This window comes from Homo sapiens, chromosome 7 (genome assembly GCF_000001405.40).
Source record: "Homo sapiens chromosome 7, GRCh38.p14 Primary Assembly".
NCBI classification, from domain to species: Eukaryota; Metazoa; Chordata; class Mammalia; order Primates; family Hominidae; genus Homo; species Homo sapiens.
The window spans coordinates 121397862-121411093 of NC_000007.14; the positions used below are offsets into that span (position 1 = coordinate 121397862).

At 38.3% G+C, this 13232-nt stretch overlaps 1 pseudogene; it reads left to right on the top strand.

Annotated features, from left to right (window-relative positions):
• Positions 525-1109, top strand: CYCSP19 (CYCS pseudogene 19; annotated as a pseudogene).
• The last annotated feature ends 12123 nt before the right edge of the window (positions 1110-13232 follow it).

Genomic DNA, 13232 nt, shown 5'->3' on the forward strand with positions numbered 1-13232 from the left:
TGTCCTGGATACAGTAGAAATTATATTTCTTAATATGGGTTTCAATTTTTTTAACATTGGTAAATCACTTCTTTAGGACTCCTGTTAATCAGCCAGTTCTTACACCTATAAACGAGTAAGGATAACTTCCTACTTTTACTTGGCAGGAGGTAGGGGAGCCAGGAGAAGTATTCAGGATTAATGATTAAGCTTAATAAAACCACAGAGCTTTACAGCTCCAGGAGGTATAAGCCAAAGGTGTTGGCTATTACAATAACTACCGATAATTTATATTATATAATAATAGCTACTGATAATGTATATTTCTAAAGCTGATATTTATTGTGTGCTTATTGTGCACCAGGCACTTTTCTAAGCACTTTATATATATAGACTTATTTAATTCTCACAATAATCCTATAAATACAGCGGAGAAAAGTGAAACTTGCTCAAGGTCCTTCTGCTATGACCAGACAGAGCTAAGATTCAAACTCACGTGCTCAACTTCAAAGCCCAACTTTTTTGTTGACTCGAAAAGAATATACAGAGAGTGTGACATCCAGCTTCTGAGTGTCATCCTTCATAGCACAAGCAACAAAAGAGAGGATTAAATATGGATGATGTTGAGAAAGGCAAGAAGATTTGTATTCAGAAGTGTGCCCAGTGCCACACTGTGGAAAAGGCAGGCAAGCACAGGACTGGGCCTAATCTCCATGGTCTCTTCGGATGGAAGACAGGTCAAGCCGTTGGATTATTTTACACAGATGCCATTAAGAACAAAGGCATCACCTGGGGAGAGGATACACTGATGGAGTATTTGGAGAATCCCAAGAAGCACATCTCTGGAACAAAGTGATCTTTGCCAGCATTAAGAAGAAGGCAGAAAGAGCAGACTTGATAGCTTATCTCAAAAAAGCTACTAATGAATAATAATTGGCCACTGCCTTATTTATTACAAAACAGAAATGTCTTATGACTTTTTTATGTGTACCATAATTTAATAGACCTCACACACCAGAATTCAGATCATGAATAACTGACAGAATATTTTGTTGGGCAGTCCTGATGTAAAACTAAGACTGGCTTGCAGTTAAATGAATATGTTCAGTTTTTTTGAATTTTAATAGTAATCCAATTCAGTAAATGCTATCACTGTTTACCCTTTCTAAAGACATGATTTGATTAGACTTTGTTAGTAATGTTCAGCTTTTCACAAAGATGGTGAATGCCATCTTAAAACATATTGGAGATTGGTTTTATATTTGGATTTATATAACTGGTTATGTGAATATATTTAAATACTGGAGAAATTCCTTCACTATCTCAGAACCAAGCAAGATTCACCTGTGTTTTGTGTTCATTTGCCTCTTAAAGGCAAGGGTTGAAGATAAGGTAGCAATGTCTACTTTATATTTTTGGCCTTAACTATGTCAATCTAATTAGAATTCCCTGTATTTAAAATAGTTCCTTTTACTTATTGAAAGGCATTTTAGTGTGGTGTATGTGTAATATCAAATAAAGATTATTTAACACTTCTCACATTTTATAGATGATCTGTAAGATAATATGCTTTTAAAATAGTAGCAAGTTAAACTTCACTCTTGAATTATTTACAATCTAAGTCAAACTAAGTTATAATTTAGGATTGTCTTTAAACAGCCATTCAGAGGCTGGGCGTGGTAGATCATGAGGTCAGGAGATTGAGACCATCCTGGCTAACACGGTGAAACTCGTCTCTACTAAAAATACAAAAAATTAGCCGGGCGTAGTGGCGGGCACCTGTAGTCCCAGCTACTGGGGAGGCTGAGGCAGGAGAATGACGTGAACCCGGGAGGCAGAGCTTGCAGTGAGCTGAGATCGCACCACTGCACTCCAGCCTGGGCCACAGAGTGAGACTCTGTCTCAAAAAAAAAAAAAAAAAAGCCATTCAGAAACAGAAAATCGTAGAACTGCTGTGTATTTGTGATTGGGAATGGTGCTTTTGCCAACTTAAAATGATTAAAGTAGAGGAGATATACACAAATTTTAAAATTATATGTGATCATAAGGCTTAAAAACAAAACCACAAATCATGATTAAAAGAAAGGAATGTTCATTCTCTCAATAGGTGCCATATTTTATATAAAACTATAACCTGCTTTATATTACTGTAACTATATAAGAATATATAAAAAATGTATATATAAGAATTAGATAATATTGTTAAATACAAAATTTCCAAAAAGCCTCAGAATTTTAATTGCACCCACCCTCAAGAAGAAGAGTCCACTTGGTATCATTTTTCTGTATATGGAGTAGTAAATTATAGGCAAATATGGCTACCAACAATTCCCCCATTCCTGTAAGTTCATGCCACTTTGTTTTTTACCATCAAGAGGTCAATCTATGTCCTCTTCTCTTGAACCTAGGCTGGCCCCGGGACTTATTCTGACCCATAGAATGCATGGAGGAGATCTTATGTGACTTATGGGCTTAGACCCTAAGAGACCTTGCAGCTTCCATTTTCACTAGCTTCAGGATCTAGTCACCATATAGGAAACTCAGACAACTACTGAATAATGAGAAACTACATGCAGAGAGAGGCCTAGCTCTCTCTCTCCATCCACACCATCCCAACCACTTCCCCAAGGCACCAGCTATATGAGTAAAGTCGTGTTGCATGTTCTAGCTCCAGCTAAGCTCCTACCTGAGTATATCACATGAGTAACTCCAGACAGTACCACATGGAGCATAACTGCCCAGCTTAGACCAACAAACCCACAGAAACTTGAGAAATAACATACTTAAAAAAATTTACTAAGTATTGTGGTAGTTTGTTACACAGCAATAAATAACTGAATCAGGGAAGAAAACATTTGTAGGGGGAAAAGAGTTGACCAACTCTGGGGGTAGGATTACTTTAAAATATTCAAGCATGTTTATATTGGATTATAAACTCAAACCTGTGGCAAGATGGCCAGAAACTTGCCTAGCTTCTAAAGAATATAGCAGAAGAGAGAGAAAAAGAGAGGTAAAATAATAAAACTGAAAGTAAACGTGTCAAATTTTATACCTATACAGGTTAAAATACCACATCTAAGTGTCATTTGAAAATTATTATTCAGAGTTTTTATAAAAATGTGAATTTAAAACCCTTAAACTTCATCCTTGCCTGTAAGGGCAAAATAGTACAGTTCAAAAAGCTGGAGTGCGCACAGATTTCATGGCACTGTATTTGATACATTAGCAACACAGCCTATAAAATGTGGTTTAATTTACTATGAAACATGGAGGATACAGTAGAATGGCATTACAGCAAATGTATCTTTGCACAAAAAAGACTCTAAGTTTTTAATCTATTACTTTTCTAGTAACATACAAGAAAATTCTAGATACCATAAAAATTTGAATTTTTAAATGAATTGAATAAAAAATAAATATTCAAATAAATTTGACTTTTGATTTCACTGCATAGGGGATTCTAGTTTGGATTTGATGTTTTAATAGGTCTTTCAGTGTCGGAAAATTTAGCATTTTTGTCTTGCTTATGAATCATGTTAAATGATATACTGTATATGGTAACCCATATCTAAAAAATGTATTGGAATCATGACTGCAAAATAACTTCCCTTTCCTTGAAATTGTTCACAAATGTGAATTATAAGCAACTATTAAGGTTACTAGTGGCTTCCTCTGAAGACTAATTTATAATTCTGTCATAAAATATTACCTTCTAGAAAAATTTCTGACTCAGCATCATATTCTACAAAATACTTTTTTTGAAGTCTTATATGGCAGTGTTAACTGTTGGTAATGCCAAACAATGATGCAGTAACCGTGGATTTGCCTAAATATATCACACGCACACACACACACACACACACACACACACACACACACACAGACACATACACACCTTGCATATACACAATACACACATAGTGTATAAGGTGTTTAGAAATTTATATTTATCAGACTTCTGGAGAAAAATGCTTTATGTTTTTCACTGCCACAGAATAAATGGGAAAATGTGACTACACCCCTAACGTTCATATAAATCTAAGTAAGTACAATGAGTAAGCTTCATATTAAGTCATCTGAAAACACTTCTATCCACATTCCATTTTTTAAAAAGTCTACCAAAAAACTCTCAGAGAAGAAGCAACTGAACAAATACTGAAAAAAGTGTCTGTTTTCCTACAACATAATTGCTTAAGTCTGTAACTTCAGTTCTTTATTAAGAACTGACTATGGGAACCCTTTAGTCTAAGCACAAAAGGACTCACTGTGACGACGGCATTTTTATTAAACATTAAGATCTCTAGTTACATTAAATTGGAATGCATTGTTTGCTTTGAAAGGCAAAACAGTAGAAATATGAGTAGCAAAACATCATTCAATTGTTAGTATTGCATAAAGACCCGTTCTCTGGTGAATTTCATGGTCACTACAGATAGTTCAGCAACACACTCCAGCAGGCCAAAATCCCATGTGGTCATAACAAGTCTAAGAAATATACAATAGAAAAACAAACACAAAATAAATATATATGTATATGTATATATACACTGCATATTGTTATTGCAATCTTTGTGTGCTTTTTCAGGTATTATATAGTCTCATAAATTTGTTGGCTATTTTTCCTAATATGACTTATTTCAATAATACTTGTTCCAAGGAATTAGATGGAAACATTGGAATTCTAGACAATGACATTGACCTTCAAAACTTACAGGCTGGCAGTATTTTATGTGCAACAATGCTTTTCCCTGATGTACCTGTGACCTAGATAGGAAGCTGGAATCAGCCTAACCTTCCAAATATGTTTCACTAACTGCATTTCCAATTCTAGGTCACTCTCCCACCCCTCACCACCACACAAAAGGTACCACATCTGTACTATTTTGAACTTGTTTCCTGATTAAATAGGAAAGGTTACTTATGAATCCCTAAGCTGCTCATTTTTTGCACTTTTATTTTGAAATATTTTCTGTAGAACTGTTGTGGCCTTGCTGAGGCTTGGACATATTTTTAAGTGTAATTTATTTACTCAGAGAAGCTCTGCTCAAATATAGCATCTGGTATTTCATAGCGTTTTATCCAATAGTCAAATTTTCCATCTCTATTCATGAAGCCAAAACCAAGAAAACTGCTCACTTTACTTTGAAAAATCAAGCATGGGGAATTAACTAACTTTCAGATTCTATAGATTCCAGGATAATCTCACCTTCTGAAATTCCCCATCTCTTCATCTTTTCTACACCTCCAGGCCACCCTGCCCCCGATCATTGTTGAACTCATTGAAAGGACTGAAGTGAGAGGGTTGGACTTGAAGTCAGACAGATAATTTGGATCTTGGTTACATCTATTAATTGATTCTAAGTGACCTCAGCCCAGGTGCTTAGTCTGTCTAAACCAGTTCTTCCCTGTAAATGAGAACAATAGCAATCCTCTCACAGATTTTTAGTTAGTTTGTTCCATTTTGTTTTGGTATTGGAGAATGTTTAGTATAGTTTTTAGTATTGGAGGTGCAATTCATTTGCCACATCAGATCTATGGTCCCAAATAATTCTTAAATGCCATTACCCACCCTCCCCTGATTTGCATGCAAAACTTTGGTGAAGTATCTGCTTATCAGCTCAAGCCGCCAGTTGTCCTAGAACTCATTTGCACGGTCTTACTTCAGCACTAAGACATGGGACTCCTTTTGCAGAATTTTTTATTTTATTTTATTTTATTTTTACTTTTGTTGTTGTTGTTGTTCTTTTCTACACTACTACCCTTCACACACAGCCTTCACTGATTCATAGGAGCTGACATTTTCCACCTCCTCATTTCCATTGCTTCCATCCAGCCCAGCAGAACTGTCATCTCTCCATCACCAGTGGTACACCTACTGAGTGCTCATACTCATTACTGGTCCATTTGCCTTCTTCCAGGACTCCAGAGGCCACATGCTTCACTCTTTGCACCTGTATCTGAACAACCTAAGCTGCTTACTCTCCCAAATCCTCAACTCAGATGACAAATCCTCTCATAGTTTTTCACAGTTCCTTGAGGGAGACAGAACTTTTAATTGGAGCTTCTCATTCATGGTAGATCTCACCAAGGGCTTAACATATGATTCCATTTTCATGCTTCTCACTTGTTATCTTTGAGCATTTCCTGAAATAGTGATGGAATATTTCCAGCATCTGAATAGAAGCAGGTACACAGATGATTTCTCCACAAGTCTATTAAATTAATAAATTAATTTGCTATACAGGACAATTTGGAATCATACATGACCCCTGAAAATTTGAAATACATCTCACTTTCAAGAGAATACACACCTCCTGGCAACCACTAACCTGTTATCCATCACTATCGTTTTGTCATTTTAAGAATGTTATAGAAATGTTATCACGCAGTATGTAGTCTTTTGGGATTGGCTTTTTTCATTCAGCATAATTCTCTTAAGATTCACCCATTTGTTATCCTCAAGGCTAGGAGAGAAGAGAGAAGAAAGTGGGTGTGTTTTCAAAAGGGCATCATGAGGGATCCTGGCGGCAATAGAATAGCTCTGTGTCTCAGCTGTGGTGGTGGATACACAACCAACACAGGGGATCAAATTACATAGACCAAAATCATACACACAAATCAGTGCTATTAAAACTGGGGACATCTGAATAAGATAAGTGGATTTTATCTCTGTGGGTATCCTGGTTGTTACATTGCACAATAATTTTATAAGATGTTACCATTTGAAGAAACTGGATAAAGGGTACATAGATCCATTACTGCTTAGAATTACATGTGAATCTATAATGATCTAAAAATAAAAAGCTTAATTAAGAACACACCAGAGGGACTTATGACTAGCAGAGTAAGACAGCATACTTGAAGAATCGTGTAATTTGAATGTCAGATTTTGACAGAGCTTAAGGGATTTTGCACCTGCCATTTTAAAGATTTCAGATAGTACATATTATGCAAAGTGCCTGGGTCAATTGCCCCTTCAGCCTGTAACATAAAAATGGTTCTACCATTATCCATGGAGACTAATTTCTACAAACAGCCCAAGGGAATAGAATATGTATTAGTTTCCTAGAACTGCCGTAACAAATTACCACAAACTAGATGGTTTATACAGCAGAAATTTACTCTTTCACTATCCTGGAGAAGAGAAGTCTGAAATCAAGATGTTGGCTGGGCTGAGTTCCCTTTGGAGGCTCTAGGGAGAATGCTTCCCTGCCTCTTAAAGCTTCTGGTTGCTCCAGGAATTCCATGGTGGCAACGCAGGCTCTCTAGGCCTGTGGATGCATCGTGACAATCAATGCATCCATCTTCACATGAACTTCTCCTCTTCTCTCTGTGTCTTCTCCTTTTCTGTGTCTTATAAGAATACTTGTCAGCTGGGCGCGGTGGCTCATGCCTGTAATCCCAGCACTTCGGGAGGCCAAGGCGGGTGGATCACGAGGTCAGGAGATCGAGACCATCCTGGCCAATACGGTGAAACTCTGTCTCTACTAAAAATACAAAAATTAGCCAGGCGTGGTGGTGCGTGCGTGTAATCCCAGCTACTCAGGAGGCTGAGGCAGGAGAATCGCTTGAACCAGGGAGTCGGAGGTTGCAGTGAGCCGAGATCATGCCACAGCACTCCAGCCTGGCAACAGAGTGAGACTCTGTCTCAAAAAAAAAAAAAAAAAAGAATACTTGTCATTGGATTTAGGGTCCACCTGGGCAATCCAGGATGATCTCATCTCAAGACCCTTAATTTAATTACTTCTGCAAATAACCTTTTTTTTTTTTTTTTCAAACTTTAAAAGTTTCAGGGGTGAGGACATGGACATATCTTTTGTATGTGGGGCGGTGGGTGGGGGGCGGGAGTGGGGAGGGCACCATTCAACCCACTACAATGAATGATAATCAATTCATCCATTTATTCTTTCAAGAAATGTTCTTTGAGCCCCTAATAGGAATGTGGCACCATCCTGTGAAAGACAATCCACACACTATGATATCTGAATAGCTTGTAGTCACATTGAGGGGATATGCCAAAGCTTAAGGACAGTAGATAGAAAGAATGCATAAGTACAAGTGAGGACAGTGGTCGAGGCAGTAGATGAGAGAAGGCTGATCCATTGTAAACTAGATTTAGGTAGATTTTCCAGGGGCCTTATGAAAAAGCAAGGTAGCTTGAGATGGACCTGAAAGGCTGGTGGATTGCATTTTGGTTTTAAGGAATAAAAGCACTGTGGTGGAAATAACCACTGTGTTCAAATGCAAGCATTCAGGAAATTAAAATGGCCAGGACAAATGCCTAATATTGTGTTATACGACTAGAACATTTACATTGAGGCTAGATGCCAAAGGGCATCTAAAGAAGCTTAAGAATATGGAAAACCGGCCAGGCACGGTGGCTCAGTAATCCCAGCACTTTGGGAGACCGAGGCGGGCGGATCACCTGAGGTTAGGAGTACAAGACCAGCCTGGCCAACATGGTGAAACCCTGTCTCTACTAAAAATACAAAAATTAGCCGGGCGCAGTGGCAAGCGCCTGTAATCCCAGCTACTCAGGAGGCTGAGGCAGGAGAATCACTTGAACCCGGGAGGCAGAGGTTGCAGTGAGCCGAGATTTCGCCATTGCACTCCAGCCTGGGGCACAAGAGGGAGACTTCATCTCAAAACAAAACAAAACAACAACAATAAAAGAGTATGGAAAACCATGGGAGGTTTCTTAACCAGCAGTGTCACTGATTGATTGTATTTGTGGAACTCTGGCAGGGAACCGTCCAAAGGCAGGGATCAGCTAGAGAGCTCTGGCATAGAGCAGGTCAGAAGAGATAAAGGTCTGAGTTTAACCAGGAACAATGGGAATTGAAGAAATGGAAGGATATGGGAGATACCCAGAGGCAGGCTTCATGAGCGAACTTAGAAGCGTCCTAATCTCTGCGGGGCCCGGCTTGACTTTTAATGCTCTGTGTCACTATCTTAAAATTCTTAATAATTTTCTCTTTGAATCTGTGCTTTGTAAGTAAAACCTAATGGGACAATGGGGAAGGCTTGGAGCTACTGCTCACACACAATCTCACCTCCCACAATCTCTTCTCCCCAAAACAGTTTCTCTGGTTCCAACCTTACCATTTCCTGGTGTTCTAAGCCCTGTCTGACTTCCTCCTCCCTGCTTGAGTCTAGTGTCTATTGCTGCCCTATGACCACGGTGGGGCTTGGTACAGCATGGGGAGGATCACAGTTGGGCATGCACGTCTTGTGGCATCACACAGGAGGGCCTGGAGGCAGCTGTCCCAGCCCTAGATGGTGGGGCCTTGTTGTGCTCAATGGGCAATTCTATGGGAGTGAGCTTCTTGTCCTTCCCCAATCCAGGTAATGAACACATCCTAGCAGGGAAGTTGCAATTATGTGGGTTCCTGTTCCCTGGGAGTTGGGCAGAGGACTTTGAGCCCTGGAATGTGATCCAGCAGATAGTGGGAGGGGCAACCCAGCCATCAATTACCTTGGGAAGGGCCTGCAGGACCTTATGCCTGAGGGAGTGGGACATTAAATCTCAAATAAAAAACACCATGACAGATGGAAAGAGAAAGACCATGGTAAGACCATTTAATTCCTTTAACAGTATCTTTCTTTCTGCTTTTTGAATAAAGGTCTTGCATTTTCATTGTGCACTGAGACCCCACAAATTATGTAGTCTTTTAAAGGAAGTCTTATAAAGGAAGAATAGACAGGATTTATAATTCAATGTGAAAATTGTAGAGACAAAATTTATCAAGATTATGACCCTGGATGACAGAGAAAGTAGAAAGCACTATTGCCAGAAATTGCCATTCAGAAAGAGAGCTAATCCCCAAGGAAGGTGACAACTTGCTATGGTTTGCATATGATTTGTTTGTCTTCACCAAATCACAGGTGGAAGTTTGATCCTGTGTGGCTGTGTTGGGAGGTGGGACTAGTGGGAGGTGTTTGGATCATGAGGGCAGATCTCTCATGAATGGCTTGGTGCTGTTCTCATGATAGTGAGTCTTCACTCTCCTGAGATAGGATTGGTTCTGATGGGCTTGGATTAGTTCCAGGATCTCAGGTTTGGTCTCTCTTTGCACATGCCTACTTCCCCTTTGACCTTCTCCACCACTTTTTGATGCAGCACAAAAGCCCAGGCCAGAAGCCAAACCAGATCCCTGCACCATGCTTTTTTTTTTTTTTTTTTTTTTTGAGACAGTGTCTTACTCTGTTGCCCAGGCTAGACTGCCAAAGTGTAGTGGCAAGATCATAGCTCACTGCACCCTCACCCTCAAACTCCTGGGCTCAAGAGATCCTCCTGCCTCAGCCTCTCAAATAGCTTGGACTATAAGCATGCACTACCATGCCTGGCCAAATTTTAAAATTTTTGTAGAGATAGGGTCTCACTATGTTGCCCACGCTGGTCTTGAACTCTTAGCCTCAATCAGTCTTCCTACCTTGGCCTCCCAAAACACAAGGATTACAGGTGTGACCCACCATGCCTGGCCCATGCTTCTTGTACAGCCTGCGGAACCATGAGCTAAATAAATCTCTTTTCTTTATAAACTACTCAGCCTCGGATATTCCTTTACAACCACACTAAATGGACTAAGCCATGTGTCCTGTTAGAGGTGTGTTAAATTGTGAACTTGTGTAAACCCTAGGCTGCCAGGACTAACATTTGGGTTCTGCTTGCTGAGTGGACCCATATATGTTCCTCATGCTTGGCTTTCAAGCTGCCGGGCTCCCACCTTACCTCTGGGCAGTCTTCCTTCCACCAAACATTCCACTCTCCCAACTCCCCAAATGCTGCTCTTTGCATGTGGTGTAAAGAAGCTGATTTAGCTTAGAAGGGGTCATGGGTAGATGTCTCAAGAATGAAAGACTTGCTTAAGAGGCTGTTGTGACATATGTATTTTACTGTCAAGCATTTCAGCCTTGAAAGTGTGAGAATATGTTTGTTTTAGTTTGAGATAAATTCTAGGGTAACCAGTTCCCCCAATCAGAAATTCACAATTTAGGTATTGTCTGTTAACATTTAAGAAAAGTTGCCCCTTAGATGAAGCTATGGTACAAATGCTTTCGATATCTGTATCTCCCATCAACACCAAAGGCTTTCCTGATTAGTGTAACAAAGGTTAGATATTGCCTTATTAGTGAAATTAGTGTTCCTGATATGTATATATAAAGGTTAGATATTGCCTTCTTAGTGAAATTAGTGTTCCTGATATGTACATATAAAGGTTAGATATTGCCTTCTTAGTGAGATTAGTGTTCCTGATATGTATATATAAAGGTTAGATATTGTCTTATAGTGAAATTAGTGTTTTTGATATATATAGAATATATATTAGATTATACATGTAGAACATATACAGGATATATTCTAATATATGTTCTATATATATAGTCTAATATATATATTCTATATATATTCTTTATTTTGAGATATATATTTCAAAACACACACACACACACACACACACACACACACATATATATTAGAAAAAAATTTTAGAACACTTTCTCTCCATTGCATGAACAAGATATAAGAGTCTTGTAAGGTTGTATCCTTAAGGGTAATCTCTGAAGGTACTGCCTCTGGAATGTTCCTGCCAGAATATTGTTTCAGTATCAAATGAACCTCTCATGCAAGTTGTGTTCAAATCTCTTCAGGGTCCAGAGAACTGGAATTTCATAGAGTTTACAGAATAAGCTGTATGAATGGTTTTATGCTGTTTTGTGCCCACTTGCTAATAAATATTTGTTTAATACATGTGTTTGTAGCAGATTTTAGTTTGAGACTCATTTTTATTATAAACCATTAGCAAGTTTGTACATGTTAGTTAACCCTCCACCACCTCTATTGGCAGCTAACATTAACTACCACAATTAAGCTAAAAGTTGTAATGAGCAAATTGGTTTAGGACAGGTTTAAACCATCCATGAACTCACATCCCAGGCATATACAGATGTTCAAGGGGCAGACGATATTCCCTTGGGTGTGTTGCTAGTCCATATCTAATGGAAATTTGTGAAGTGAGTTTCACAAAGGAAGGCCAAAGAATTTGTCTTTAAGATTTAAAAAGGAAATCCAGGGAAAGGATGGATTATCTTGGCTCTGAAAAGATCTTTGCAGCAATGTCAAAGTACAATAACTAGAAAGAAGGAAAATAGGAAATGCCAAAAAAGAAACTTAATTTCCTGGAGATATTGACATGTCTTTGTAAAAAAGAGGCACATGAAGATTTTTAAAAATACAAAGGAAGTCTGGAAATATGCAATATACAATTACTTTTTAAAAAGTTTTCCTATTAGTTTATTTTCTTTTCAATTATTCCTTTTCTCCCATGTACATTACATGGAAGAAACCATGGGATTCTCTTCCCAGAACATGTTTGGAAGAAAACAGATTGAGATGCTCATCCCAACAAAGATGCCATCTACTCTTCAAGAAGCACCAAGCATTTCCTGAGACCTCATCATTTCTCTTAACACATTAAACTTTCTTAGAAGGAAGTTATGTTTCAAAATAGCATTTTTAATTCTGAAATGCTGATCATTTCAAAAGGTATATAAACTTTCTGAAGCCCAACAATGGACATCAGATTATACTCACCTGAGCTACTCTTCCAATTACCAAATGGCTGCTAACCAAAGCACCTCATTGGCCAGGTCCCTTCCAAATAATTAATTTTTTTTCTAAAGGCTAACATGGCTTTCCTAAGATAGAATGAATTTAATGAACTGGGAGAAAGACAGTTTCTTGTATAATATTGTTCAAGTACTTCTCTCCCACATATAATGCAAGGGATATAATTGTGTTCAGAATTTCATCTTATAGGGTTAGCATTTGAAGGAACTTGGTTATTTGTACACATTTGAGCACCTGAACTAATAAAATGTTACTAAGCATACCTAAAATGTTTAGTTTTCATTTCTTAATCTAGAAAAACTTCAGGACTTTAAAAGTTTATCCCATAAAACTTTTATACTTGTTGCATAGTCATTTCTCATTGTAGAGTTTCAGTTACCTTAAATGGACATTTGAATGACATTTAATATGCAATTCTACTATTTTCTACTGCTTTTCCCCATGTTCTATATGTAAAAAGGGAAAGATGCAATAATCTGAGCCCCTTCTTAAGATCTAGTTCCTGGAGTTCATTTTACCACAGTTATCTGCTACTTCCTCATGAGGACCCACTCATCAAGTTCGGAGGATTTTATTCATTGCCACCACCACCATAAACCAACTTTGAGGCTATTTTGACTTC